Genomic DNA, 25,779 nt, shown 5'->3' on the forward strand with positions numbered 1-25,779 from the left:
GATGTACTGGCCCACAAATTAAGTACATTAGTGAGTCAGAATGGTACTTAGACTTTCATCTCAATTCCCACCCAATAACTGTAATTAGATTTACACTTTAGAAAGAAGTACACCGATATTCTATTGATTCAAAAAGGGGCCCAGTGCAGTGGCTTATATGTGTAGTCCCAGCTACCCCGAAGGCTGAGACGGGAAGATCTCGTGAGCCCAGGAGGTTAAGGCTGCAGTGAGCTGTGATCGCAACGTCCAAGGGACTTCTATTGCTGAATGAAAAAGTACATATTTTCCCAGTAAATTGTATGTAATGAGGAATAAAGCAACTAGATCCCTGAATTCACAGGTGGAAAGCAATGTTTCAGATTCTATAAAGCAGCAAATCAAACAATAACTTAAAAGTTTTTCCTTATATTATGAGATACCATAAAGCTACAAACCCACAAAAGATATTGTTGCCTAGTCATATAAGGTTAAAAACAAAATCAAACGTTTCCTGTCACTTGAGGCTGAATTTACTCATTTTCCACAAACAAATTTTCTTTTTCTTCTGGGTTATGGAAGAGGTGAGGTTCATGCACATCATTTTTTGTCAGCAAGCTTTCAGATTGCTTCAAAGAGAGATTCCTGTATTTATAGAGAGGGAAAAAAAAGCATTAAATTAAAAAAATGAAAGTATCCCTAAAAGGTAGCAAACATACAGAATCTAGGACACAATAACAATATTAAAGGCTAATGATTAATCACCAAACAGTGTGAATCTTGTCGGGCTTTAAAAAGGAAGCAGAAACAAAGATTTTCCTCTTGGTGTAGCGAAGAATGTGAAAAATCTATGATTTGTGAGAGGTATGGAAATAATATTAGAGGGAAGGTGGACCAGGTCTAAGATGAGGCAAATTTGAGGTGTCTGGGGCTTCTTATATTTTGCACCCAGATTGTCCTTATAATGCAAAATAATCATACATATCAATTTATTCCATATTGTTTTTATATATAAATGTTTTATATGTATATAAAACAGTAGATTAATTGGTACTTTTTTCACATTTCAACTATTTCTCTCATTGTTTAAATTGTAATTTACATAGTTAAGTTCACCCTTTTCAGTGTAAATTCACCCAGCTCAGCAAGCTTTCATAAACATATGTCTTATAACCATCAATGCAATAAAGATACAGAACATTACTCTCATTCTCCAAAATTATCTTGTGCTGACCCTTTGCAGTCAACCCTTTCTCCCACCTCCAGTTTCTGGCAACTACTGATCTGTTTTCTGGCTCTGTAGTTTGCCTTTGCCAGAAAGTCATACAAATAGAAGCATATTATATAGTATGTAGCCTTTTGAGTCTGGTTTCTTTCACTTAGCATAATGCTTTTGAGATCCATGTTGTTGAGTGTATCACTAGTTCATTCCTTTGTATTGCTGAATAGTATTCCATTGTGTAGATGTACCACAGTTTGTTTATCCATTCCTCAGATGAAAACCTTTGGAACTGCAGTGAGTCAAGATTGCGCCACTGCACTCCAGCCTGGGCGACAGAGTGAGACTCCGTCTCAAAAAAAAAAAAAAAAAAGAAAACCTTTGGATTGTTCCCAGTTTTTGGTGATTATGAATAATATTATAAATGTTCAGGTACAGGTTTTTGTGAGTATACGTTTTCATTTAACTTGGGAAAATAACCAGGAGTGAACCACTAGCTGCTAGAAGTGTTAAATGTATGTTTACCTTCTTTTTTCTTTTTTTTTTTTTGGAGGCTCTCATTCTGTCGCCCAGGCTGGAGTGCAGTGGTGTGATCATAGCTCACTGCAGGCTTGAACTCCGGGGATCAAGTGATCCTCCAAGTGATCCTTCCACCCTAGCCTCCCAAGTAGCTGGGACTACAGGCACGTACCACCACGCCCAGCTTAACGTTATAAGAATATGTCAAACTGGCTGGATACAGTGGTTCGCATCTGCAACCCCAGCACTTTGGGAGGCTGAGGCAGGAGGATTGCTTAAGTATAAGAGTTTGAGACCAGCCTGGACAGTATAGTGAGACCCGGTCTGTACAAAAAAATTTAAAAAATTAGATGGGCGTGGTGGAACATGCCTGTAGTCTCAGCTACTCAGAAAGCTGGGGCAGGAGGATTGCTTGAACACAGAAGGTTGAGGCTGCAGTGAGCTGTGTTTGAGCCACTGCATTCCAGCCTGGGCAACAAAATGAGACCCTGTCTCTCAAAAGATAAATACATAATAAAAGAATATGTCAAACTACTGTCCAAAGTGTCTGTACTATTTTTGCATTCCAGCCAGTAGTACACAAGAGTTCCAGTTGCTCCCTATCCTAGCCAGCATTACCAGCTTTTGTTTTTTCTTTTTATCCATTCTAGTACATGTTATTTTTTAAGAAAAAGTTAAATATTTAAAAATCAGATGATTTCATAATCGAGATATCTCACTTGCCAGCTAGTGCGATGCATGTCCATCTGGCCACACCATTGTGGAGCTGAATAGCTACAGTTGCCTTTAGTTGGGCATGTGCTTACCAGTTCACCTTAGTCACCCCCTCACCTGTTCTCACTTATTATCCCTTCCTGTTCCTAAGGGTGGTTTTCTTTGAGAGTCCCCAGCAGAGTACTTGAGAGGTTGGCTATTGGAGTCAGTGAGCTGTGTTCAAGTCCTAGCCCTGCTCATGGCAACTGTGTGACGTTGGGTCCTTCTGATTGTACCTCTTCAAGCCTCATTTTCCCATCTATAAAATGGGGCTTATAGTATTCTTAAAAGAGTTCCGTTGTCTTTTAAAATTTGTTTGGATAGGCTGGGTGCGGTGGTTCACGCCTGTAATCCCCCCACTTTGGGAGGCCGAGACGGGTGGATCACGAGATCAGGAGATCAAGACCATCCTGGCTAACACGGTGAAATCCCATCTCTACTAAAAACACAAAAAACTGGCCGGGCGTGGTGGCAGGCGCCTGTAGTCCGAGCTACTCGGGAGGCTGAGGCAGGAGAATGGCATGAACCCGGGAGGCAGAGCTTGCAGTGAGCCAAGATCACGCCACTGCACTCCAGCCTGGGTGACAGAGCGAGACTCCGTCTCCAAAAAAAAAAAATTGTTTGGATAATGAAGATTCAGCTTTCAAAATATAGGCATTTTAAAATGGAAAATAATATAATTCTTTTGAATTAGATCTTATATAACTCTTGTTCACAGAGTAAACCATTGACAGAGTTGAGATCAGAAGTCACAAAAACTAGCTTGTTTTAACTAAAACTAGTCTGTTTTAACTAAAAAAAGTTTTTGATTTTTGAGACAAGGTCTTGCTCTGTCGCTCAGTCTGGAGTGCAGTGGCACAATCGCGGCTCACTGCAGCCTTAACCTCCTGGGCTCAAGCAATCCTCTCACCTTAGCCTCCCGAGTAGCTGGGACTACAGAGACAAGCTACTACACCTGAATTTTTTTTTCTTATGGAGATGAGGTCTCATTGTGTTGCCTAGGCTGGTTTCGAACTCCTGGACTCAAGCAATCCTCTCTCCTTCCTTAGCTTCCCAAAGTGCTGGAATTATAGGCATGAGCCACCTCACCCAGCCTAAAAACACTGTTGCTTACCACTATTGTGCTTTTTTTGGGAAAGAGGGGGGACTACCATAATTTCAAAATGGTTCTTTGAGAACTGCAAATCCAAATATTAGCATTATACCTACATTACTGATACACATAAGCTTATTTTGCATATAAAATTAAATAGACCGTTATGTTTAACAAAGCAAAATTTGCAAGTGAGTTTATATAACATCATTCCAGAGTTTTGTGACTAAAAATATCTGAGTTTTAAAAATTCTTCCCTAAGCACATAGATCTGTTGTTACAACTGTTCAAATATAACCTTAACAGTGGTGAAGGAAAGTTGTTTTAACTGTTATTCGAGTTCACTTTTTAATTCAAAGAAACCTAATGCTTCCATATTCTAACAAAGGGTACTAGGTATTTTATAAATAGCTAAATAATATACAGTGAATATTTCCTGTGAATTATGGGTCCCAGTGATTTGTATTCCTTAAAGGTATCTGAAATTAAGGGCATTTTTACCCAGCTAGAAAGTTACTATTTTTACATTAACAAAAGAGATGGATTGACTCTATTAACATTGCTTGGGTTTGAAAGATAGTTAAATAATCAAGTAACAATTAGTTTTTCATTGTATGGTGCTACACAGTATTCTCGGTGGATTTTATATGCAATATATAAATGCATTTAATGTCTATTTTAAAATTACTAAGGCTCAGGCACCTCCTAGCATGTTTGCAAAGAGAGGAAACATCTGTCAGAAGTATTTACTGTGACAAACACAGAAAGAAGCAATAATGTGTACTTTTTTGTTTGTTTAATACCATATTTTAAAAAATTGAACAGTGAAGGCATTTGTTCAGAATCAGCCTTTAAATAAAAAATAGGTTTGACCTAATCTTTAATTAAAGTATACATTGATAGTATCAAGTTCAGTTTGAGGGTCAAAAACAACGTCAATGAGTCTGACTTTTTCCTCCCAGTAGAGAAAGCAGGCTTGTATAAACATACATGAGCACAGATTGCACACATTTATAAAAGAGGTGGAAAACATTCCCCTGTCTTTGGACAGATGTTGCTTCACTGGCTCCACATAGGATACAGGCACAGCCCCCAGTGTGTAGAACCCTAAAGGAGTGTGGGGCACATACCTTTAGCTTTTTGGAAGATGCACCGTAAGCTTATTTCTACCTCTGAGCAGGCTCCCCACCTTGAATATTAAATATAGAGTGTAGGGACACGTCTGCTGATGCCAGCTCATTCTTTCCCTTAAAGTAATTAAGGCAAGGGGTAGCTTTAATCAATTTTCTAGAAACTAAAAATCTGTTCTTTGTGTTTAGGCTGAGTATTTTGTTTTTAACACTTTACTGACCTTCTAGCTTTATTTTGATTATCTCCTGGATTTATGTTAAATTGCTAAAATTAGCAAAAGGCATGCCCTGAAAATCTGTATCAAGAGTTTGATGAAACTCTGTAATATATTTGATTACCTTTTATTAAAGAGAGGTAGAACTGATAATCTCATTTAATACGTATTAAATCTTTTGATATACTAAAACAATATTTTGGCATACCTAAGGTGAAAGTATTGCCTGAGGAAATAATAAGCATTTAAAAATTTATGTAATGCTTTTTCACAGGATAAAATTGAAGACTCAGGATTGAACATAATTGGCTTCACTTGATGGTGGCAGAGGCAGGACATTCTTATGTTCTCACAGAACCCTTTTGGTTTGCTGGCTTCATTTAGGATAGCCTATCTTTGCAGTACATAGTAGTTTGTATTTTAAAAAATGCATTTAGTTCTGTATTTAGTGTTCGTAGTTAGGAAAATGAGGGTAGAGTGATTTATTTGATGTTTTATCAGTGTACTCCTAGTGACTTGAGCTTTGCTTGGGGCTACAGAATATGTGGAATGGGCCACAGCTCACTATTGATCTAACAATGCACGTGGCAATGTATAGAATTCATCAACATTGTTTTCTGAGGCTGTGTACATTTTTATTGTTTTATTTTCTTCCTTGATGATATACTAGCAAGATTTTTCAAAATGCTTGGCAAAGCAACAAAACTTAAGAACACTGTTGTGGAATTGATAACAGTTGTGTAAATCTTTAAGAAATTATTGTGGTGCTATGGACAAGTAGGCAATGGTTTGGTGATAATGACAATGGACATAAGCAGTAAATGTCTCACATAGCTCCTGTTTTATTGTGAATGGAGAGGAGGCAAGACCAAAACGAGGACTCCCTGCATATCCTTTCACTTCTCCCCAAATAAAGCATTTTCCATACCCACAGACCTTCTCTCTCCTAAGACTGCATCCCAGCAAGCCTGAGCCACTCTGCAGGGAATAGGGGTAGGACAGTGCAGCAGTAATGTTCACAGGGCTTCTTGAGGTGGGCTGTACTAGGCAATTCTAAATCATCATCCCTCGATGGGACCCTTCGAAGAGGGTGTCATGATAAGCCCACTTGACCTTCAGCAGGCAGTTCTGGGAAAAGGAAAACGATTCCAAAGTATGTCCCCTGGCTCTGTTTACTTTCTCAATGAAATATGCTATTATTGGCCTTTAGTATATTGCGATCACTAATCTTATTTGGTTGGAAGGATCAATAGAGCAATCATTGTATTGATTATAAATGAAAAAATAAGTTTAATGCAAAATTTATAAGATGTATTAGGATCTGGTTTTTAAAGCCCATAGCATTTATCACATTATAGAGTAATTATATCACATTTGACTCCCCAGCTAGCTTGTGGCAAAATATTTGAGATCAGGATTATCTCATTTGAGTTTTTATATTCAGTGTTGCCCAGCATATGGCAGATGTCTCATGTTTTATATATAAATGAAATTACTTTCTGGTATGGGTATTTATTTATTTAATTTATTGAGATGGGGTCCCACTCTGTTGCCCAGGCTGGAGTGCAGTGGAGCGATCTCAGCTCATTGCAGCCTCTGTCTCCCAGGCTCAAGTGACCCTCCCACTTCAGCCTCCAAAGTAGCTGGGACTATAGGCACGCACCACCATGTCCAGCTAATTTTTGTATTTTTTTTTTTGTAGAGAAGGGGTTTCTCCATGTTGGCCAGGCTGGTCTTGAACTCCTGGACTAAAATGATCTGCCCACCTAAGCCTCCCAAAATGCTGAGATTATAGGCGTGAACCATTGTCCCCAGCTCTGGTTTATTTTTCCATCAAAGCAATACCTTTTTTAAACCAAAAAGCAAATTTTTCCTCATCAGGAGAAACTTCTGCCTCCTTCAGAGACAACAGCTTAAAAATCTGGTTTGTAGAAGTGGTGAAAGTAGTCTAATTCTGTAGGCCTCTGGACTTTCTGCAACCATATGCTCTGAAGTCGCCCACCCACTGGTGGACTAGTCATCATCAGCTAGGCCTCAGGCTCCTTTGACAGAATCCCTGATCATTGAGACATCTTTACCTACTGCCTCTGGGACTTTTCGGAGTCTCCTACCTTACCTCAGTGGGTGTATCCAGTCTAACGCCGAAGTCTTCTGGAAACACCCCTTCCCATCGTAACTTTCTGAGTGTTTGGGCAGACCAACAATGAACTTTTTTTTTCTTTCTTTCTATGTTTGGCCAAAAAGGATTGAGAACAAAGAACTAGGAGACAGATTGGATGGCCTCTGTTCCTCTTTGTTTACTGTGAAGATGTCTCCTCCCCACCAAAAAGATAAAGTCACATAAATATTTGAAAGAACCTACCCCATCTCTTAAATAATTTTAGTGTAATCTTCTCAGGAACTTTCTGGAGATGCATTTGCATTTACAGGGTATCTCTGTATTTCAGAGAAAAAGGCTAATTTTGGCTTACCCACCTGTGGGTAATAAACAGGAACTATATGATGCATTGTTTTGAAGTTACCTGTAGCACACAAAGAAATAAAAGCATTCTGCTTTGAAATTAATAACTAAATTTTTAAAAAGGGTATAACAATATTAGATTATCTAAAAATTAAATAAAGCCAAATGAATACACAGTAAAACTAGTAATAAAATTAATAACCCGAGGAAAAAATAGCACAGACTTTCATATACAAAAACCTATACAGGAAAGTTCATGATCAACTCTTAAAATAAAATGAGCATGCCAACATTAATATAAACATTAACTGCCCTTAATTTTACTGTTCTGAGTTAGTTTATTTTTTCAAATTGTTTAACTTGTAGGGAGTAAATTAATCGTGTATCGTTTTGGGGATATGTCCATACCTTTATTCTGGCACTTAACATTCCATATCATTTACCTGCTTTCAGATCCTCCTCCCTTTCCAGCAGTAATTTCCTTTTAAGTAGGGACAGCCCTATTCACCTCTAATCCACAGTGGCTGGCATATTCTTGGACACATTCGAGGTGCTTAATAAATGTTTATTAAATGTTTGTTATGAATTTTTCTATAGAAGTGCTATAAAAGAAAGGGCTAAAAGATGTGAGTATAATATTTTGGATTTTATTAAGATATTAAAGTATGTTTACAATTTTGTGTTATATAGCTATATGGCTATACTTAGGATAAGATTTTTAAATTGTAAGATCCTTGAAGTTAGAGGTTATAATAATTCCTATAATTTTACCATAATCCCCAATATAGAGCTCCAAATTTACAAGGCTATCAAAAACACATAAAAGATTAGGAAGTACAAAAATTATTACCATCTTTTTAAGAATTCCTGTTCCCTTACAATGTATTTGGTTGCACAGAGGTGCCTTTAAAAAGTTCATCTTAACTCTTCTAAAGACCTGAAAGGTAGGTATACTGTAGATTTTGAAAATACATAATATATTTTCTAGATTTTAATTTATGCTTTCCCTTTCTCTTGCACAGTTATAAAAGAGTCTTTGCATAAAGACCATATAGTATGCTATTGGACATATACAAAAGGATAGAGTTATTGTATATTACATACGTGTATACAGGGATGTCACTGCTTTTAAGCCTGAGAGTTCCAGGTTTGTACCATCTGTTTGGATGGGGATGGCAAACATGGGCAAAGGGGAGGGAGGACCTACAAATGGCCAAGGAAGAATAACCAAGTACTCCTGAGAAAAGCTCAGAAAATTTTCTGCTGCAGCTACTCAGTGTGTTCACTTTAAATTTTATTTTAATTGATTTTAGAGACCATTTTTTTTTGAGACAGAGTGTCATCTTGTCACCCAGGCTGGAATGCAGTGGCACAATCTCGGCTCACTACAACCTTTGCCTCCCGGGTTCAAGTGATTCTCCTGCCTCAGCCTCCCTAGTAGCTGGGATTATAGGCGCCTGCCACCACACCCGGCTAATTTTTGTACTATTAGTAGAGGCGGGGTTTCACCATGTTGGCCAGGCTGGTCGTGAACTCCTGACCTCAGGTGATCTGCCCACCTCAGCCTCCCAAAGTCCTGGGATTACAGGCATGAGCCACCGCACCTGGCCGAGACCATTTTTCAATATAGTAAATTATGTAATCTATTTGAGTACTCCCTTTAAAATTTTGAAATTTGTCATATTATCCTATTTCCTCTAGCTCCTTTTTAGTTATAAAAATTGTTTACATATCACATATTTCCACATCTGTTATTTTCCCAAATTCCCACCAAATTGAAGTGAATTTCTAAGTAGAGCATTATTGCTTTAGAACATTAATTGTCCTTATATCCCAGCTTCATTTAGCCTGTGCCCCCTGCTAGCTTTGTAAACTCAAGACAAGTCACTTCATTTGCTGAAACTGAACTTTCTCATCTGCAAAATGCATATAATGATCTTCTGCCTCACAGGTTATAATGATTAAATGCAGTAATGTATGTAAATATCTGAAATGTTTAGCACAGTAAATGTCAGTTCTTTTTTCTTCCCTTGCCCCCTCTTCTTTGCCTTCTAATTCTGAGTGCTTTCCATTTTAAATTATTAATAATTATCATAACAGCAACTACCACAAGGTCTGAAATGAAGCTTACATACTATAACATTCTATATGGACTTTTAAAAATTGTAGCAAAACTATTTAACATGAGATCTACCCTCCTTTTTTTTTTTGGTTTTTTGTTTTGTTTTTTGTTTTGTTTTTTGAGACGATGTCTTGCTCTGTCACCCAGGCTGGGGTACAGTGGTGCCATCTCGGCTCACTGCAGCCTCTGCCTCCCAGGTTCAAGCAGTTCTCTTGCCTCATCCTCCCAAGTAACTGAGACTACAGGGGCACGCCACCACACCCAGCTAATTGTTTTGTATTTTTGGTAGAGACAGGGTTTCGCCATATTGGCCAGGCTGGTCTCGAACTCCTGACCTCAAGTGATCTGCCTGCCTCAGCCTCCCAAAGTGCTGAGATTACAGTTGTGAACCACCGCGCCCAGCCAAAATCTACCCTCTTAACAAAGTTTTAAATGTACAATACATTATTTTTTTTACCTTAGGTACAATATCGTATAGTAGATCTCTAGAGTTTATTCATCTTGTTTGGCCGAAACTTTATGCCCATTGATTAGTAAGTCTCCCTTTCCTCCCCTCAGCTGCTGGAAATAGCACTCCACTCTTTGAGTGTGTGAATTTAACTATTTTAGATATCTTATATAAGTTGAATCAGTATTTGTCTTTCTTTGACCTGGCTCATTTCACTTAGCATAATACCCTCAAGGCTCACCCATGTTGTCACATATTGCAGAATTTCCTTTCTTTGTAAAGCTGAATAGTGTTCCGTGTTCCATTTAATATACACTTCCTTTATCCATTCATCTGTCCAATGTCCATGTACCTTGTTTCCGCATCTTGACTATTGTGAATAGTGCTGCAATGAACATAGGAGTACTGATGTCTCTTGGAAATCCTGATTTCAATTCTTTTGGATAAATATCCATAAGTGGGATTGTTGGGTCATATGGCAGTCCTATTTTTAACTTTTTGAGGAACGTTCATACTGTTTGCTATAGTGGCTGCACCATTTTACATTCCCACCAATGGTGTGCAAGGGTTCCAGTTTCTTCACATCCTCTGTAACACGTGTTGCCTTTTTTAAAATAATAGCCATCTGGGCACAATGGCTTATGTCTGTAATACCAGCAGTTTGGGGGGCTGAGGCAGGTGGATCACTTGAGTTCAGGAGTTGGAGACCAGTCTGACCAATATGGTGAAACCGCATCTCTACTGAAATTGCAAAATTAGCCGGGTGTGGTGGTACATGCCTGTAATCTCAGCTACTCGGGAGGCTGAGGCAGGAGAATTGCTTGAACCCAGGAGGCGGAGGTTGCAGTGAGCTGAGAGCACGCCATTGCACTCCAGCCTAGGCAACAAGAGTAAAACTCTGTCTCGGAAAAAAAAATAAAAGCCATCCTGACAGATGTGAGGTGATAGCTCATATCTATTTTGATTCGCATTTCCCTGATGATTACTGACATTGAGTATTTCTTCATATACCTGTTGGCCATTTGTATGTCTTCTTTGGAGAAATTTGTATGTCTTCTTTGGAGGAACAAAAACCACTATTTGTTTAAGAGACTTTTCTTTCCCCATTGTGTATTCTAGGCACCTTGTCAAAGATCAATTGACTACATATGCATGGATTTTTTTCCTGGGTGCTCTATTTTGTTCCATTTCTCTATATGCCTGTCTTCTGCCAGTACCATACTGTTTTGATTACTGTATCTATGTAATATATTTCAAAGTTAAGAAATGTGGTGCCTTCAGCTTTGTTCTTCATTCTTAAGATTGATTTGGCTATTTGTGGTCTTCAGTGGTTCCATATGAATTTTAGAATTGCTTTTTTCTATTTCTATAAAAAATGCAATTGGGATTTTGATAGAAATTGCATTGAATCTGTGGATCACTTTTGGTCTTACGGATATTTTACAATATTGAGTCTTCAGTTCATGAACATGAGGTGTCTTTTCATTTGTGTCTTGTTTAATTTCTTTTAAAATTTATAAGCAGACATTGCAGAAGATGTCTTAATTTCTTTCATCAATGTTTTGTCGTTTTCAGCATATGTCTTTCACCTCCTTAATTAAATTTATTCCTGGGTATTTTATTCTTTTGTTGTTATTGTAAATGGGATTATTTTCATAATTTCTTTTCAGATAGTTTGTTGCTAATTTATCTATATGACTTTAAACATTGTTTTTGGGCGGGGCGCAGTGGCTCATGCCTGTAATCCCAGGACTTTGGAAGGCCAAGGTGGGTGGATCACTTGAGTTCAGGAGTTCAAGACCAGCCTGGCCAACATGGTGAAATCCCATCTACTAAAAATACAAAAAGTAGTCAGGTGTGGTGGCACACGCCTGTAATCCCAGCTTCTCGGGAGGCTGAGGCAGGAGAATTGCTTGAACCTGGGAGGCAGAGGTTGCAATGAACTGAGATTGTGCCACTGCACTCCAGCCTGGGTGACAGAGTGATACTCTATCAAAAAAAAGATGGTTTTTGTTAGTTGGGGCTCACACTAGATTATAAAGAGATTAATAAGGACTGTTTTGAGAAAATTAAATGGCTAATTTAAAAAAATTTAGTTGAGACATAATTGTACATATTTATAGGGTACATAGTGATGTTGCAATACATATAATGTATAGTGATCAAATCAGGGAAATTAGCATATACATCATCTCAAACATTTATCATTTCTTTGTGTTGGCATCATTCAATATTCTCCTTCTAGCTATTTGAAACTATATATGATTGTTAACTATGGTCATCCTATAGTGCAGGGGTCCCCAACCCCAATGGTCCTGGTCTGTGGCCTATTAGAAACTGGGCCGCATAGCAGAAGGTGAGTGGCAGGTAAGCGAATGAAGCTTCATCTGTATTTACAGCTGCTCTCCATAACTCGCATTACCACCTGAGCTCTGCCTCCTATCAGATCTGCTACAGCATTGGATTCTCATAGGAACATGAACCCTATTGTGAACTGTGCATGCGAGGGATCTAGGTTGTGAACTCCTTATGAGAATCTAATGCCCAATGATCTGTCACTGTCTCTCATTACTCCCAGATAGGATCATCTAGTTGCAGGAAAAAAAGCTCAGGGCTCCTGCTGACTCTGCGTTATGGTGAATTACGATTTCATTATACATTACAGTGCAATGTTAATAGAAATAAAGTGCACAATAAATGTAATGTACTTGTATCATCCCAAAACAATATCCCCCTCCACCACACTTCTGGTCCATGGAAAAATTGTCTTCCACAAAACCAGTCCCTGGTGCTACAAAGGTTGGGGACAGCTGCTATAGAACTCTAAAGTTTATTCCGCCTATCTGGTTGTAATTTTGTAACCTTTACCAAATCTCTCTCTTCCCTTGCCTTATTCCCTCTGGCCTTCCCAGTCTGTAGTATCCTCGTTCTACTTTTTAATTCTATGAGATCAACTTTTTGGTTTTTTTTTTTTTTTTAGCTTTCACAGATGAGTGAGAACATGCACCATTTCACTTTCTGTTTCTGGCTTATTTCACTTAACATAATGTCCCCCATTTCCATCCGCGTTGTTGCGAATAACAGGATTTCATTCTTATTTATAGTTGAATAGTATTCCATTGTGTATATATACCACATTTTCTTTATCCATTCATCTGTTGGACACTTAGGGCAATTCTGTATCTTGGCTATTGTGAATACTCCTGCAACAAACATGAGGGTGTGGATGTCTCCTTGATACACTGATTTCTTTTCCTTTGGATAGATGGTCAGTAGTGGGATTGCTAGATCATATGGTAGTTCTTCTTCTTTTTTTAATTCAAGGAATTTTTTTAAATTCAAGGAAAATCTGGTAGTGTTCTATTTGTAGGTTTTTGTTTTGTTTTGCTTTTTTTTTTTTTTTAGACGTAGTCTTGCTCTGTCACACAGGCTGAAGTGTAGTTGTGTGATCTCAGCTCACTGCAACCTCCGCCTCCCAGGTTTAAGAAATTCTCTGCCTCAGCCTCCCGAATAGCTGGGATTACAGGCGTGTGCCACCACGCTCAGCTAATTTTTTTTGTATTTTTAGTAGAGACGAGGTTTCACCATCTTGGCTAGGCTGGTCTTGAACTCCTGATCTATGATCCAACTGCCATGGCCTCCCAAAGTGCTGGGATTACAGGCGTGAGCCATCGCGCCCACCCTTGCTTTTTTTTTTTTTTTTTAAGAGACAGGGTCTTGCTCTGTTGTCCAGGCAGGAGTGCAGTGGCGTGATCATAGCTCACTGCAGCTTCAAGCTCCTGGGCTCAAGCAATCCCCCTGCCTGAGCCTCCTGAGTAGCTGGGACTACAGGTGTGTACTACCACACTGAGCTAATTTTCTTTCTTTCTTTTTTTAGATGGAGTCTCGCTCTGTTTCCCAGGCTGGAGTGCAATGGCATGATCTTGGCTCACTGCAGCCTCCGCCTTCCAGGTTCAATCGATTCTCCTGTCTTAGCCTCCACAGTAGCTGAGACTACAGGTGTGCACCACCATGCCCGGCTAATTTTTGTATTTTTAGTAGAGAAGGGGTTTCACCATATTGGCCAGGCTGGTCTTGAACTCCTGACCTCAAGTGATCCACCTGCCTTGGCCTCCAAAAGTGCTGGGATTACAGGCATGAGCCACCTCGCTTGGCCGCTAATTTTAAAAATAATGTTTTTGAAGAGATGGTGTCTTGCTTTGTTGCCCAGGCTGGTCTTGATCTCTTAGTCTCAACTGATACTCCTGCCTTGGCCTCCAAAAGCACTGGGATTACAGTTGTAAGCCACCATGTCCAGCACCCTATTTGTAGTTTTTTGAGGAACCTCCATTCTGTTCTCTATAGTGGTTGTACAACTTTACATTCCCACTAACAGTGTATAAGAGAGCTCCCTTTTCTCTGCATTCTCACCAGCTGTATTAGTCCATTTTCATGCTGCTGATAAAAACATACCTAAGACTTGGGTAATTTATAAAGAAAAAGAGGTTTAATGGACTCACAGTTCCACATGGCTGGGGAGGCCTCACAATCATGGCAGAAGGCAAAAGGCACATCTTACATGGTGGCAGACAAGAGAGAATGAGAGCCAGGCAAAAGGGGAAACTGCTTATAAAATCATCAGATCTCATGAGACTTATCCACTATCACAAGAACAGTATGGGGGAAACCACCCCCATAATTCAATTATCTCCCACCACGTCCCTCCCACAACACATGGGAATTATGGAAGCTACAATTCAAGATGAGATTTGGGTGGGGACACAGCCAAACCATATCACCAGCATTTGGTTTTTATTTTTGAGACTAAGTCTCACTCTGTCACCAGGCTAGAGTGCAGTGGTGCGATCTCAGCTCACTGCCTCCTGGGTTCAAGCGATTCTCGTGCCTCAGCCTTCCAAGTAGCTGGAATTGTAGGTGTGCACCACCCCTGGCTAACTTTTGTATTGTCAGTAGAGACAGGGTTTCACCATGTTGGCCAGGCCGTTCCTGAACTCCTGACTTCAAGTGATCCACCCACCTCAGCTTCCCAAAATGCTGAGATTACAGCCGTGAGCCACTGTGCCTGGCTACCTGTTGTTATTTTTTGTCTTTTTGTTAATAGCCATCCTAACTGGGATGAGATGACACCTCATTGTGGTTTTGATTTGCATCCTGATGATTAAGTGATATTGGGCATATCTTTCTTATATTTGTTGGCCATTTGTATGTCTTCTTTTGAGAAATGTCTGTTCAGATCCTTTGCCCATTTTAAAACTGGGTTGTTTTTTTGCTTTTGAGATGTTTCAGTTTCTTGTATATTCTGAATAATAATCCTGTCAGATGAATAGTTTACAGATATTTTCCCCATTCTATAGGTTGTCTTTTCACTCTTGATTGTTCCCTTTGCTGTGCAGAAGCTTTTTAGTTTGACATAATCCCACTTGTTTATTTTTGTTCTCATTGCCTGTGCTTTTGAGGTTCTATTATAAAATCTTTTCCCAGACCAATGTCCTGAAGCATTTCCTCTGTTTTCTTCTAGTAGTTTTATAGTTTCAGGTCTTATATTTAGGTCTTTGATCCATACTGAGTTGATTTTTGCTTAGGGTGATAGCTAGGGGTCTAGTTTCATTCTTCTGCATATGGATATCCAGTTTTCCCATCACCATTTATTGAAGAGGAGGATAGCTTGAGCCGAGGATTTCAAGATTAGCTTGGGCAACACAGTGAGACCTCATCTCTACAAAAAATATTTTAAAATTAGCCGGGTATGGTTGCACACGCCTGTCATCTCAGCTACTTGGGAGTTCTGAGGTAGGAGGATCATTTGAGCCTGGGAGATCGAGGCTGTAGTGAGCTGTGATCCAACATATGTTCTTGGCACCTTGGTCAAAAATCAGTTGGCTGTAGCTAAGTGGATTGGTTTCTGGGTTCTCTATTCTGTTCTACTAGTCTATGTTTCTGTTTTTATACCAGTACCATGGTGTTTTGGTTACTATAGCTTTGTTGTATATCTTGAAGTCTAGTAGTGTGGTGGCTCTGGCTTTGTTGGTTTTGCTCAGTATTGCTTTGGTTATTGGGGTTCCACACACATTTTAGGATTTTTTTTCTATTTCTGTGAAAAATGTCATTGGTATTTTTATAGGGATTGCATTGTATAGATTGCTTTGGTTAGTAGACTATAATTTTTTTAAGTTGTAAATTTAAAGACATATTATTATTTTGTCAAATTTCATTGAAGTTAACAATTAATTAATGTAGTTGTCCCTAAATTAGGAAGAATTTTTGAAATCAGTTAAAATGAAAGAAACTACATTATTTTTAGAATTGGCCCAATTCTGGGGTGAGGGCTGGTATTAAATATTTAAAAAGTGACATCTTTGGTGTAATACTGAAAATATGTAAAATACTAGAATCCTTACCCTAGGTCTAGTTCTGCCCTTCACAGCCAGCCAGGAATGAACAGAGGAAAAATACCTTCTGACTATTTTAGAAGTTTCAGATCTTGAGAAATTCACATTGCAACACAGTATACTGTAATATACTCATGAGTATATTATCAACTAAGAAAATCCCATTCTACTTAATGATTTTCCATAATTTATATTCTTTATTTTTTTCAGATGGGGTCTTGCTCTGTTCCCCAGGCTGGAGTGAAGTGGCACAATCATGCTCACTACAGCCTTGATCTCCCAGGCTCCAGTGATCCTCCTTCCTCAGCCTTCCAAGTAGCTGGGACGACAGGCACATGCCACCATGCCTGGCTAATTTTAAAGTATTTTTTTTATAGATGAGGTTTCACTGTGTTCCCCAAGCTGATCTTGAACTCCTAGGCTCAAATTATCCTCCCACCTCAGCCTCCCAAAGTACTAGAACTACAGGTGTGAACCACCATGCTTGGCCCGTAGTTCGTATTCAGTGAACATGATATGGCAAAATCACTAGAGCTCCATGCCTCTCCACCCGTGCTCCTCCTCATGTCAGACACTATGTCCTAGAGTGACAGAGCTCCTAGGATATGCTATCCTATCCTAGCATAAAGCCTCACTACAGTGTCCCCATTTCCCTTTTCCTATTTCCCTGGCCTAGCCCCTTCACTATGTCCTTATGCCTTCCCTTAGTCAGTTGTAGAACAAGAACATTAGCATTCAAACACTATCATGGAAAGGAGGAAGGGGCTCATTGCAATGTCATGGGCTAAAAAATCTGTGGTCAGTTCTTTTTTTTTTTTCTTTAAGACGGAGTCTTGTTCTGTCGCCCAGGCTGGAGTGCAATGGCGCAATCTCAGCTCACTGCAACCTCCACCTCCCGGGTTCAAGTGATTCTCCTGCCTCAGCCTCCCGAGTAGCTGGGATTACAGGCACCTGCCATCATGCCTGGCTAATTTTTGTATTTTTGTAGAGATAGGGTTTCACCGTGTTGACCAGGATGGTCTTGAACTCCTGACCTCATGTGATCTGCCTGTCTCAGCCTCCCACAGTGCTGGGATTACAGGCATGAGCCACCGTGCCCCGCCAGACTAGTCAGTTCTTGGATGCTCCAAAATTAAGATAACTGTTACACATTACTCTTAGTTACATTTTGTTGCATTAGTTAGGCAAGGGAGGTTGGTATGTCGTTTGTAACACAACTTTAGGTATATTATAATCCAAATTTTCAGGTGTTGGAGTATGTGCATAAGAAGGGAGACAGTCCACAGATGTGGTCGTGATATATTTTTATTTTCTATCCTGATGAAAAATGTGATTTTTGCACTTTTTTTTTTTTTTTTGAGATGGAGTTTTGCTCTTGCTGCCCAGGCTGGAGTGCAATGGCGCAATCTCGGCTCACTGCAGCCTCCGCCTCCTGGGTTCAAGCGATTCTCCTGCCTCAGCCTCCCAAGTAGATGGGATTACAGGTGCCTGTCACCACGCCTGGCTAATTTTTTGTATTTTTAGTAGAGACAGGGTTTCATCATGTTGGCCAGGATGGTCTTGAACTCCTGACCTCAGGTGATCCACCCGCCTCATCCTCCCAAAGTGCTGGGATTACAGGTGTGAGCCACCGTGCCTGGCCTTTTTGCACTGTTACTTAACAAATATACTAGTGGCTTAGGTTTCACAATTTACATAGCTGATATCATGCACTTTTGCCAGGTATACAATTATACATTTTTCCCCACCCTTGTGGCTCTATGTTTACACAAAACCAAACACAGCTGTTGTTCACAGTGGCTACCATTTACATAAACATTATAGGTGAAATTTCTAATACAAGACAAATTGTACTTATGTACAACTAAGTAAATAAGTTTTAAAAAACCCCATAAAACAACAACAACAAAAAACTAAACAAAAACTATTTTATTTGTTGGCATTTTTTTGTTGCCTAGAATATTTCCTTTGCTAGAAGAGCAGTCACCTAATGAGTGACAGAGTGCTTACTTATGAGTGAATTGCTTGCATCCTCATTTTTACTGCTCCTTTTTTTGCTGATTTTCTTGGCATCTTTGGATGCTTTCCAATTCATTAGGAATTGTCTTTCTATATTTTTAATTTCTTTTCCATCAAGAAATTCTGGAGAAAAATACATACATTTAAAAAATACAATATATACATATAAACATAAGTCAAAATATGCACTTCTGGTTCAGAGCACAGAAACTTAAGTTACACCATAGACTGAAATAAATTTGTTTTTAAAATACATTAATTATACAACGCATGTACTTTTGTTGAGATTTTATTTATAGATTTTTTTCTGATTCCAAAAAGAATATGTGCTTGTTATAAACAATGGAAATATCATTAAATAAAACATTAAAAGGCTCTGTAATTATTATCCCCCTTTTATTTATTTATTTTTTTTTTGAGACAAGTTCTCGCTCTGTCATCCAGGCTGGAGTGCATGGAGTGAACTTGGCTTACAGCAACCTCTGCCCCCTGGGGCTCAAGTGATCCTCCCACCTCAGCCTCCCGAATAGCTGGGACCACAGGTGTGCACCACCATCCCCAGCTATTTTTTTGTATTTTTAGTAGAGACAAGGTCTTGCCATGTTGCCCAGGCTGGCCTGGAACTCCTGAGCTTAAGCAATCCGCCTGCCTTGGCCTCCCAAAGTGCTGGGATTACAGGCATGAGCCACCGTTCCTGACCATACCCCTTATTATGTTTGTTTATTTATTTATTTTTGAGACAGGATCTCACTCTGTCACCCAGGCTGGAATGCAGTGGCATGATCTTAGCTCACTGCAACCTCAAAACTCCTCAGCTTAAGTGATCCTCTTGCCTTAACCTCCCGAGTAGCTAGAACAATAGCCATGTGCCACCATGCCTGGATAATTAAAAGCTTTTTTTTTTTTTTAGAGATGGGATCTCACTATGTTGCCCAGGCTGCTCTTGTATTCCTGGCCTCAAACGATCCTCGGCTTCCCAAAGCCCTGGGATTACAGAGGTGTGATAGAAATTGCGCTTCATAAATTATACAAATAATTTTTGCAAGTTGTAAGACATTTGGAAAACACACAAAAAATAAAAAAATTATTCCCCAATGAGAAATAATCACTGATAACACTTTTGTATATTTCTTAGCATGTTTTTATTTTCTATATATGTATATAAAATTGGAATCCTCTATATTAGTTTTGCATCCTGCTTATTAATATTGTGTTGTGAACATTTTACCATTTTTTCCTTAAATATGGCTTATGTTTCCTTAATGGCTGGTTTTCTGTTGTTTATGGATATATTATAAAATATTGAACAATTCCCTTATTATAGGATATTTATATTGCCTATATTGTTTCTTTAATTACATGAACACAGATGATCTTCATTTAATAGAAGGATGGTTTTTTTCTTCAAAATTTTTTTCTTTCTTTCCATAGGACTCTGCTTGATAGATTTTTTCTAATAAAATTTATGTATAGTAGTTTTGAAAATTAGATAGTTTCTCTCATTATCCATGTAATCCACTAGATCCCAGAATGTAGAAAGGATGCAGTAAAATTTATTAGATCACACATCCTTTCAGGGATAATGACAATATTCTGATAAAATATTAGTTGTACTACTGAAAATATTAACACTACCACTTAAACATGAGCCATAATACTGTGTTATACCCAAAGTAGAAAACAAAATGTTGAAACAAAGAATATAAACTAGAACCACAGAATCTAGAAGTAAAACTGTCTCCATATCTTATTTCATGTACTTTTTTTTTCACTGAACTAGCTAGTACTCTCCAAACCATAAGAAATTGTCAAACATCTTAGTACTTATAACTTTACAATAAAGGTCATTCTTTTTTATTATTTATTTAAACAAACTCTTTAATCATACGCACATAAGGGGAATAAAGGGCAACACCAGGCTGACTGGGGAAGGGAGCAAGATATTCTCCCTTTGTCCCAATGTCTGCTTGGCACAGTTCTGAGATCATACAAGTGGGAGTGGGTTGGGAAACAGAATAAGTGAGAGGACAGAAGAGACAAAGGCAAGAGGGGAGAGGCAAGGGCTTGCAGTAGTCTCAATCAGTGGACTCTACACAGATTCACTCAGCGCAAGGTCCCAGTAATGTTCAGCCCCATGCTTTCTGAAATGCTCATGAGCTATGTTCTCTATAGGACACTGTTTAAACTTCATCTCTCCAAAGCTCCGGTCTTTGGCTGTACCCTCCCAGAATAGTACACATTTGTTGGTTTTCTTCACAGCTTCCTCATCAGGTTCCTCATGATCATCTCCCTTTGTGTTAGATGTCTGTTCATCCCACTTTATCCGATGCAGCATAAGATGCTTCAATTTCTTCTGGGTCTTGGGGCCCCCTTCCACTACTACCACGTTGACACCCTTGTGCAGTAACACCACTCCTATCAGGTACAGTTGCCCAGCATTGGCCTCAATCTTGAACTTCTTGGCTGGGGTGCTAAATTTCTAACTCCATCTCAATCTTGAACTTCTTGGCTGGGGTGCTCAAATTTCTAACTCCATATACAGATACGTGTACCCCCTGTGAAATGTCTTAAGCTTTTAAATTTTCTTGACCTTTCTGTGTTTTGCTGTGAGTTTTCAGGCAGAGTTGGCCTCTTCATGCAATTTCTGTCTTTTTGCCATCTGAGCTGTGACATGGGCTTCTACCTTCGTGGGGTCTTGAACAGCTTCTGTTCCTAATACTCGCATCAAATTAGAAATTCTCACTTTGGGTTCTGGAGGAGGCATCAGGCCCAGCCTGACTTTTTCTAGTAGTTCCTTCTGTGCTTCCCTCCTTGTCTGTCTCTGAAGTTTTTTCTGTTCCTTCTTGGTAAGATACACTCCCAAAGTAACTGGTGTGTCATTGTCAACTGGAGCATTGAGCTGGGCTGGATGTTCAACAAGATTTGTGATTCCAAAATAATCTTCTCTCTTGGGATTTTCCTCTCTAAGGTTAAAGCCATTGGGGATTATGTAAGAGTCCCACCACTCAATTTCAGGGATATCTCCTTCCTTTAGCTCCTTCCTAGGAGCAATAAGGGCAAGCCTAGTCAAAGTATGGATGTCTGTTTTTTGAGCTGCTTGTGAAATCTCTGCCTGAAGCTTCTCCAGTTGAGCCTTTGTCCTTAATCGCTGAGCAGTCTTCTCAAATTTGCCCTTGTCATGGAATTTAAAAGTGCGTTTCTGGCGCTGGGAAGCGACAGTGGAGACTCGGGGTCAAAAAAGGTATTGGACTCCATGTCTTCTGATGGCTTTTCTTTTAGCTGTTGCTTGAATGGTTCCCTCCGAAGAGGGAACAGCACGAATATTGGCAGGAGTAGACATGCAGTGTGTCAGCTCAATCTCCTTGCCTGTTGCATCTACAATGCACCCTTGCTCATCTAGGATCAGTGGTGTAGGTTTAATTTGGTCTTTTAACTCCCCCTTTGGGGAAGCAATGCCCATGTCATGGAGATTAGACGGGCCCACCATGTTGGCATTGCTGATGAGTCCTGGCTTCAGTGCCAGCCCGGCTTGGATTCGAGCTTGTAGTTCAGCTGTTTTCCTTGCCTTCTCAATGGCATCATTCATGAAAGTGGCACCCTGGGAGGGCTGAATAGTGTGGCCAATTGGAAGTTGCTCTGGTTGGGAGGAAGAAGGAGTCTTTGGCTGAGGTGTAGGGGGGCTAATGAAGCACAGCTGTTTTTTCCTCTCCTGGATTTGCCATTTTGCTGCGTCCATCATCTGTTTGATGTGGAGCTTAGTCAGCATGCCAGGACTCTGATGGAGGCCCAGGGATCACCTCTGGCTCTTCTTCCACCTTCTCAAAATGGGGTATTTGCTGCTTCTTTACTCCTGATGATTCCTTGGAGAGCTCAAGAGTCATCACCAAACACCTTCTTTAGCTTTCGTTTTCTGCTTCCGTCACTGCTAGACTTGGAATGCCTAGAGCTTCCGCCTTCCTCCTACAGCCTCAGTTTGTCCACAAATCGGGGAGTAGAATCATCAAGAAAAGGTTTCAGATGATCGGCTGCCTTCTTCTTGTCCATGCTCTTCCCTACAGCAGTTCAATGCTGCTGTGACCACTGTAGGCTCTGAGAAACCCAGCACGCTTTTCACTGTCTTCTCACCCACCTTGGAGCCTCCCAAATTGCTGGGATTACAGGCGTGAGCCACCGCGCCCTGCCTGACATCACTGATAAATTAGGGAGAAAAGATTAAGGAAGAGTGGCTAATTGTAGTTATCAACGACTGTGAAAGGATCCATGGTTTCAGCTCATCCAGCTCCCTCTTAGTGCCATTTTTCAGGAAAAAGAATAGCTCAAATGGGACTCAATACTACAGCTCACAAACTTCAGCCCCGAGACGGAGGCCGAAAGTTAAACCGGAACCAGAAACCTTCTGACTGCCCTAGGCCTGTTGTCCCTATCGCCACGGCAGCTGCCACGCCGCTGTCTCCCAACACGTGACCAGAGTGGGCCGGGCCGCCAATTCGTGCAGCCATGTTTGCCACTTTCCTGGAGGCAGAGCGCATGCGTCGCAGAACCGAAACGTTTCCGTGAACAAGTTGCTTGCTTTCTGTTTCCCGGACTAAGCCTGTTTCTGCCAAGTTAATGTCTTTAACTTCCTGAAGCGGAAATTAGGCTACTTGCAGTTTTCCTTATATGGAGAATAAGTGCGCAAAAGTAAACTGCTAGAACGAAGAGTGAGGCTTCTGCGTTTGTGCTCAAACATAGCCTTTCTGATAGAAAGTAAATACTTTCACAGTCGTGATAACTAGAATTAGCCATCCCTCCTTAACCTTTTCTCCCTAATTTAACAGTGGCGTCAGGCTGGGCCGGTGGCTCATGTTTGTAATCCCAGCACTTTGGGAGGCCAAGGCGGGTGGACCACTTGAGGTCAGGAGTTCGAGACCAGCCTGGCCAACATAATGAAACCCCGCCTCTACTCTAAAGGTCATTCTTTGATGCTCAGTTTTTCCAGCTACTTATATTTATTGATGTCTTTCCAGATCTATTTTTATTAATAATTATATAGCTTGTTAGTATATTTTTGGATGAGATATATGTAATCAATACATACTTTAAAAATATACTATAAAGATAAGGAATGAAAATTCCAAGTCTTTTATTGTAATCTCTTCTTCCTCATGTTAATGTCCCAAACAGAGCTGAGGAATGACTAGGAAACTATGCCTCCGTTAACCTGTCTCCATCTCATTTTTAGCAAATGATCTTTTTTTTTTTTTTTTTTTTTTGAGACATTGTCTCACTTCGTCACCCAGGCTGGAGTGCAATGGCGTGATCTCGGCTCACTGCAACCTCCGCCTACCAGTTTCAAGCGATTCTCCTATCTCAGCCTCCCGAGTAGCTGAGATTACATGTGCACACTGCCACCCCTGGCTATTCTTTTGTATTTTAGTAAAGATGGGGTTTCACCGTGTTGCCCAGACTGGTCTCAAACTCCTGATCTCAGGCAATCCACCTACCGCGGCCTCCCAAAGTGCTGGGAACACAGGCGTGAGCCACCGCGCCCGGCCTCAAATGTTCTTATTTGAAGTTAATAGGTGTGAACATGGTTGAAGACTGGGAGCCAGGTAATGAATTCAAGATTATAGAACTATGAGATTTATTTCATTTTAATAAGTTTCTCTCAATACAAAATTTGCTTCCACTCATGCTAAGTAAACCAAATATGTGGATTGTCACTCTATTTGGTGAGGACTGGGTAACCTAAAAAACATAAAATGACTCCCATAGCCTTCGTGAGAGGTCACTGCCCATCTTTCTGATGCTGTGTCACTTGGTCACTATTAATCGAGTGTTTTTGTCCATTTCCCCCAGTATGGTGCACATTCAGGAATGTTATTTGTAAGGATCTCATAAAGGGTCTCGTCACCCAGCTCTCCTATCAAACGAAAGGGATTCCTGTATGTTCTTAGGGTAACATTTGGCAAATGTCAAGCAATGAAAACTTTGATCAATTTTATCTACAGAACCAAGAGCTAAGGAGTCTCTTGGGATCATCAAAGGATTTGTGCTAACGAAAGTTTGGCAAAAGGTCAGCAAGTTCTACACATTTATGACTAACCATTTTTATTGGTAATAGCAAAATATCCTCCTTAAGGAATAAGTATCAGGTGCTTTAATTACTTCTGAACAGCAGATGTTTTTCATGCTTTATTTGTCAATTTTAACTTTTGCTCTTATTCAAAATATTGAATTTAAAGTTGACAATTTTCACAGATCCAGATGTCAGATTTATATTTCTGAAAGCTTGCTGGTAAAATAACCAAAAAGTTAACTAGGTGTCATTCTCTTAAAAATTATATTAATATAAATATGTACCCAGTGATTTGGACACCAATATCAGTCTGTCCCTGTATTTTGGTTTGAGACAAACAGGATTTCCATTTAGATCAATTTTCCACAGCTTCATCAACTTGTTCAGTAAAAACTCCAAATCCTATAATTAGAGAAGAAAAAGCAAAGCACAAGCATTTCATATTTACCAATACTTCTAGCATGTCAGTTATTGTTTTTAAAGGTAATTACTGCTTTCATGGAGTTCTAGCTCAGAGCCAGGTACTTAGAAGGTGCATAATAACTAAATTTTGAATAAAACAATCTATACTGATAATAGAAGGCACTGAAGATGAGGCAAAAAAAAGAGGTCCTAAGTTGAGGGCCACACAACTGTTCTCTGTCATACTCCCTTAAATGGCCCCCACTGCAGCTCAGAAAAAACTTTTTCCTGCAGAAGATGCCCTATTCTTAGTGTAGCTCATAGAAGTTTACAGATTAGGCAATTAAGGGGTAGTGAGTAAGCAGTCCCTGGTGATTGTAAGGAATGTGTGTTGTTGCTTTTTATTTTACAAAGAATGCATATTCATTTTTTAAGTGTTAAAAAAAAAAGACCAAAAAACAAACACCTACCAAAGGGAAAAATGGAAGAAAGGGGGAAAAAATCATTTGTATGCTTATCATGCAAAGATCACTTTTAATATGCTGTTATGTATCCTTCTAATCTTTTTGAGCATAGGGACTTTCGGGAGGGTACATATTTTTAATTGTCATAATTGTACTGTGAGTACAATTTTGTTTTATATTATATCATAAATATTTGCATGTTTTTATAGCTTATAAGAAGAAAATCAGCTAACTGATAGTTCAAGGAATAATAAAGTTATTCCATGGTCTACAACCCAAATAAATGTAAGGAAAACAGATTAACGGAACTTAAGAACTAACTGTCTCAGTTTGCTTTTTTCACAGCATCTTTGTCCCTATTTGGGTTTCTTTTCCTATCCAGTGTCACTCCTTCCTCAGTACTTTGTCTGTTATGTCTTGCTTTCTCCCCTTCCCCGCTTTCTAAAAAGTGTATTTTATCTTAACTGCTATTTAATGATAATGAAGTACACTTTGAGTATTTCTTATAAGT

At 39.5% G+C, this 25,779-nt stretch overlaps 1 protein-coding gene and 1 pseudogene across 4 annotated transcripts in view; both read right to left on the reverse strand.

Moving 5' to 3' along the window:
- Positions 1-389: 389 nt before the first annotated feature.
- Positions 390-25,779, reverse strand: part of PPP1R42 (protein phosphatase 1 regulatory subunit 42) — a 64,452-nt gene continuing 39,062 nt past the window's right edge. Inside the window, exons 4-7 of one of the 4 annotated variants that reach the window (NM_001364911.2) lie at positions 24,687-24,804; positions 18,336-18,467; positions 7,268-7,427; positions 390-621 (exon numbers count right to left, since the gene is read on the reverse strand). In NM_001364911.2, the coding sequence (NP_001351840.1) occupies positions 7,300-7,427; positions 18,336-18,467; positions 24,687-24,804 (378 nt within the window). In that variant the 3' untranslated portion in view covers positions 390-621; positions 7,268-7,299. Of the gene's footprint in view, positions 622-7,267; positions 7,428-18,335; positions 18,468-23,943; positions 24,805-25,779 lie in introns of those variants that run through there. The other 3 variants (NM_001364910.1, NM_001364912.2, NM_001013626.4) reach the window with 3 other exon arrangements.
- Positions 20,209-22,742, reverse strand: LOC100288001 (pre-mRNA processing factor 3 pseudogene; annotated as a pseudogene).

Source organism: Homo sapiens, chromosome 8 (assembly GCF_000001405.40).
Source record: "Homo sapiens chromosome 8, GRCh38.p14 Primary Assembly".
NCBI classification, from domain to species: Eukaryota; Metazoa; Chordata; class Mammalia; order Primates; family Hominidae; genus Homo; species Homo sapiens.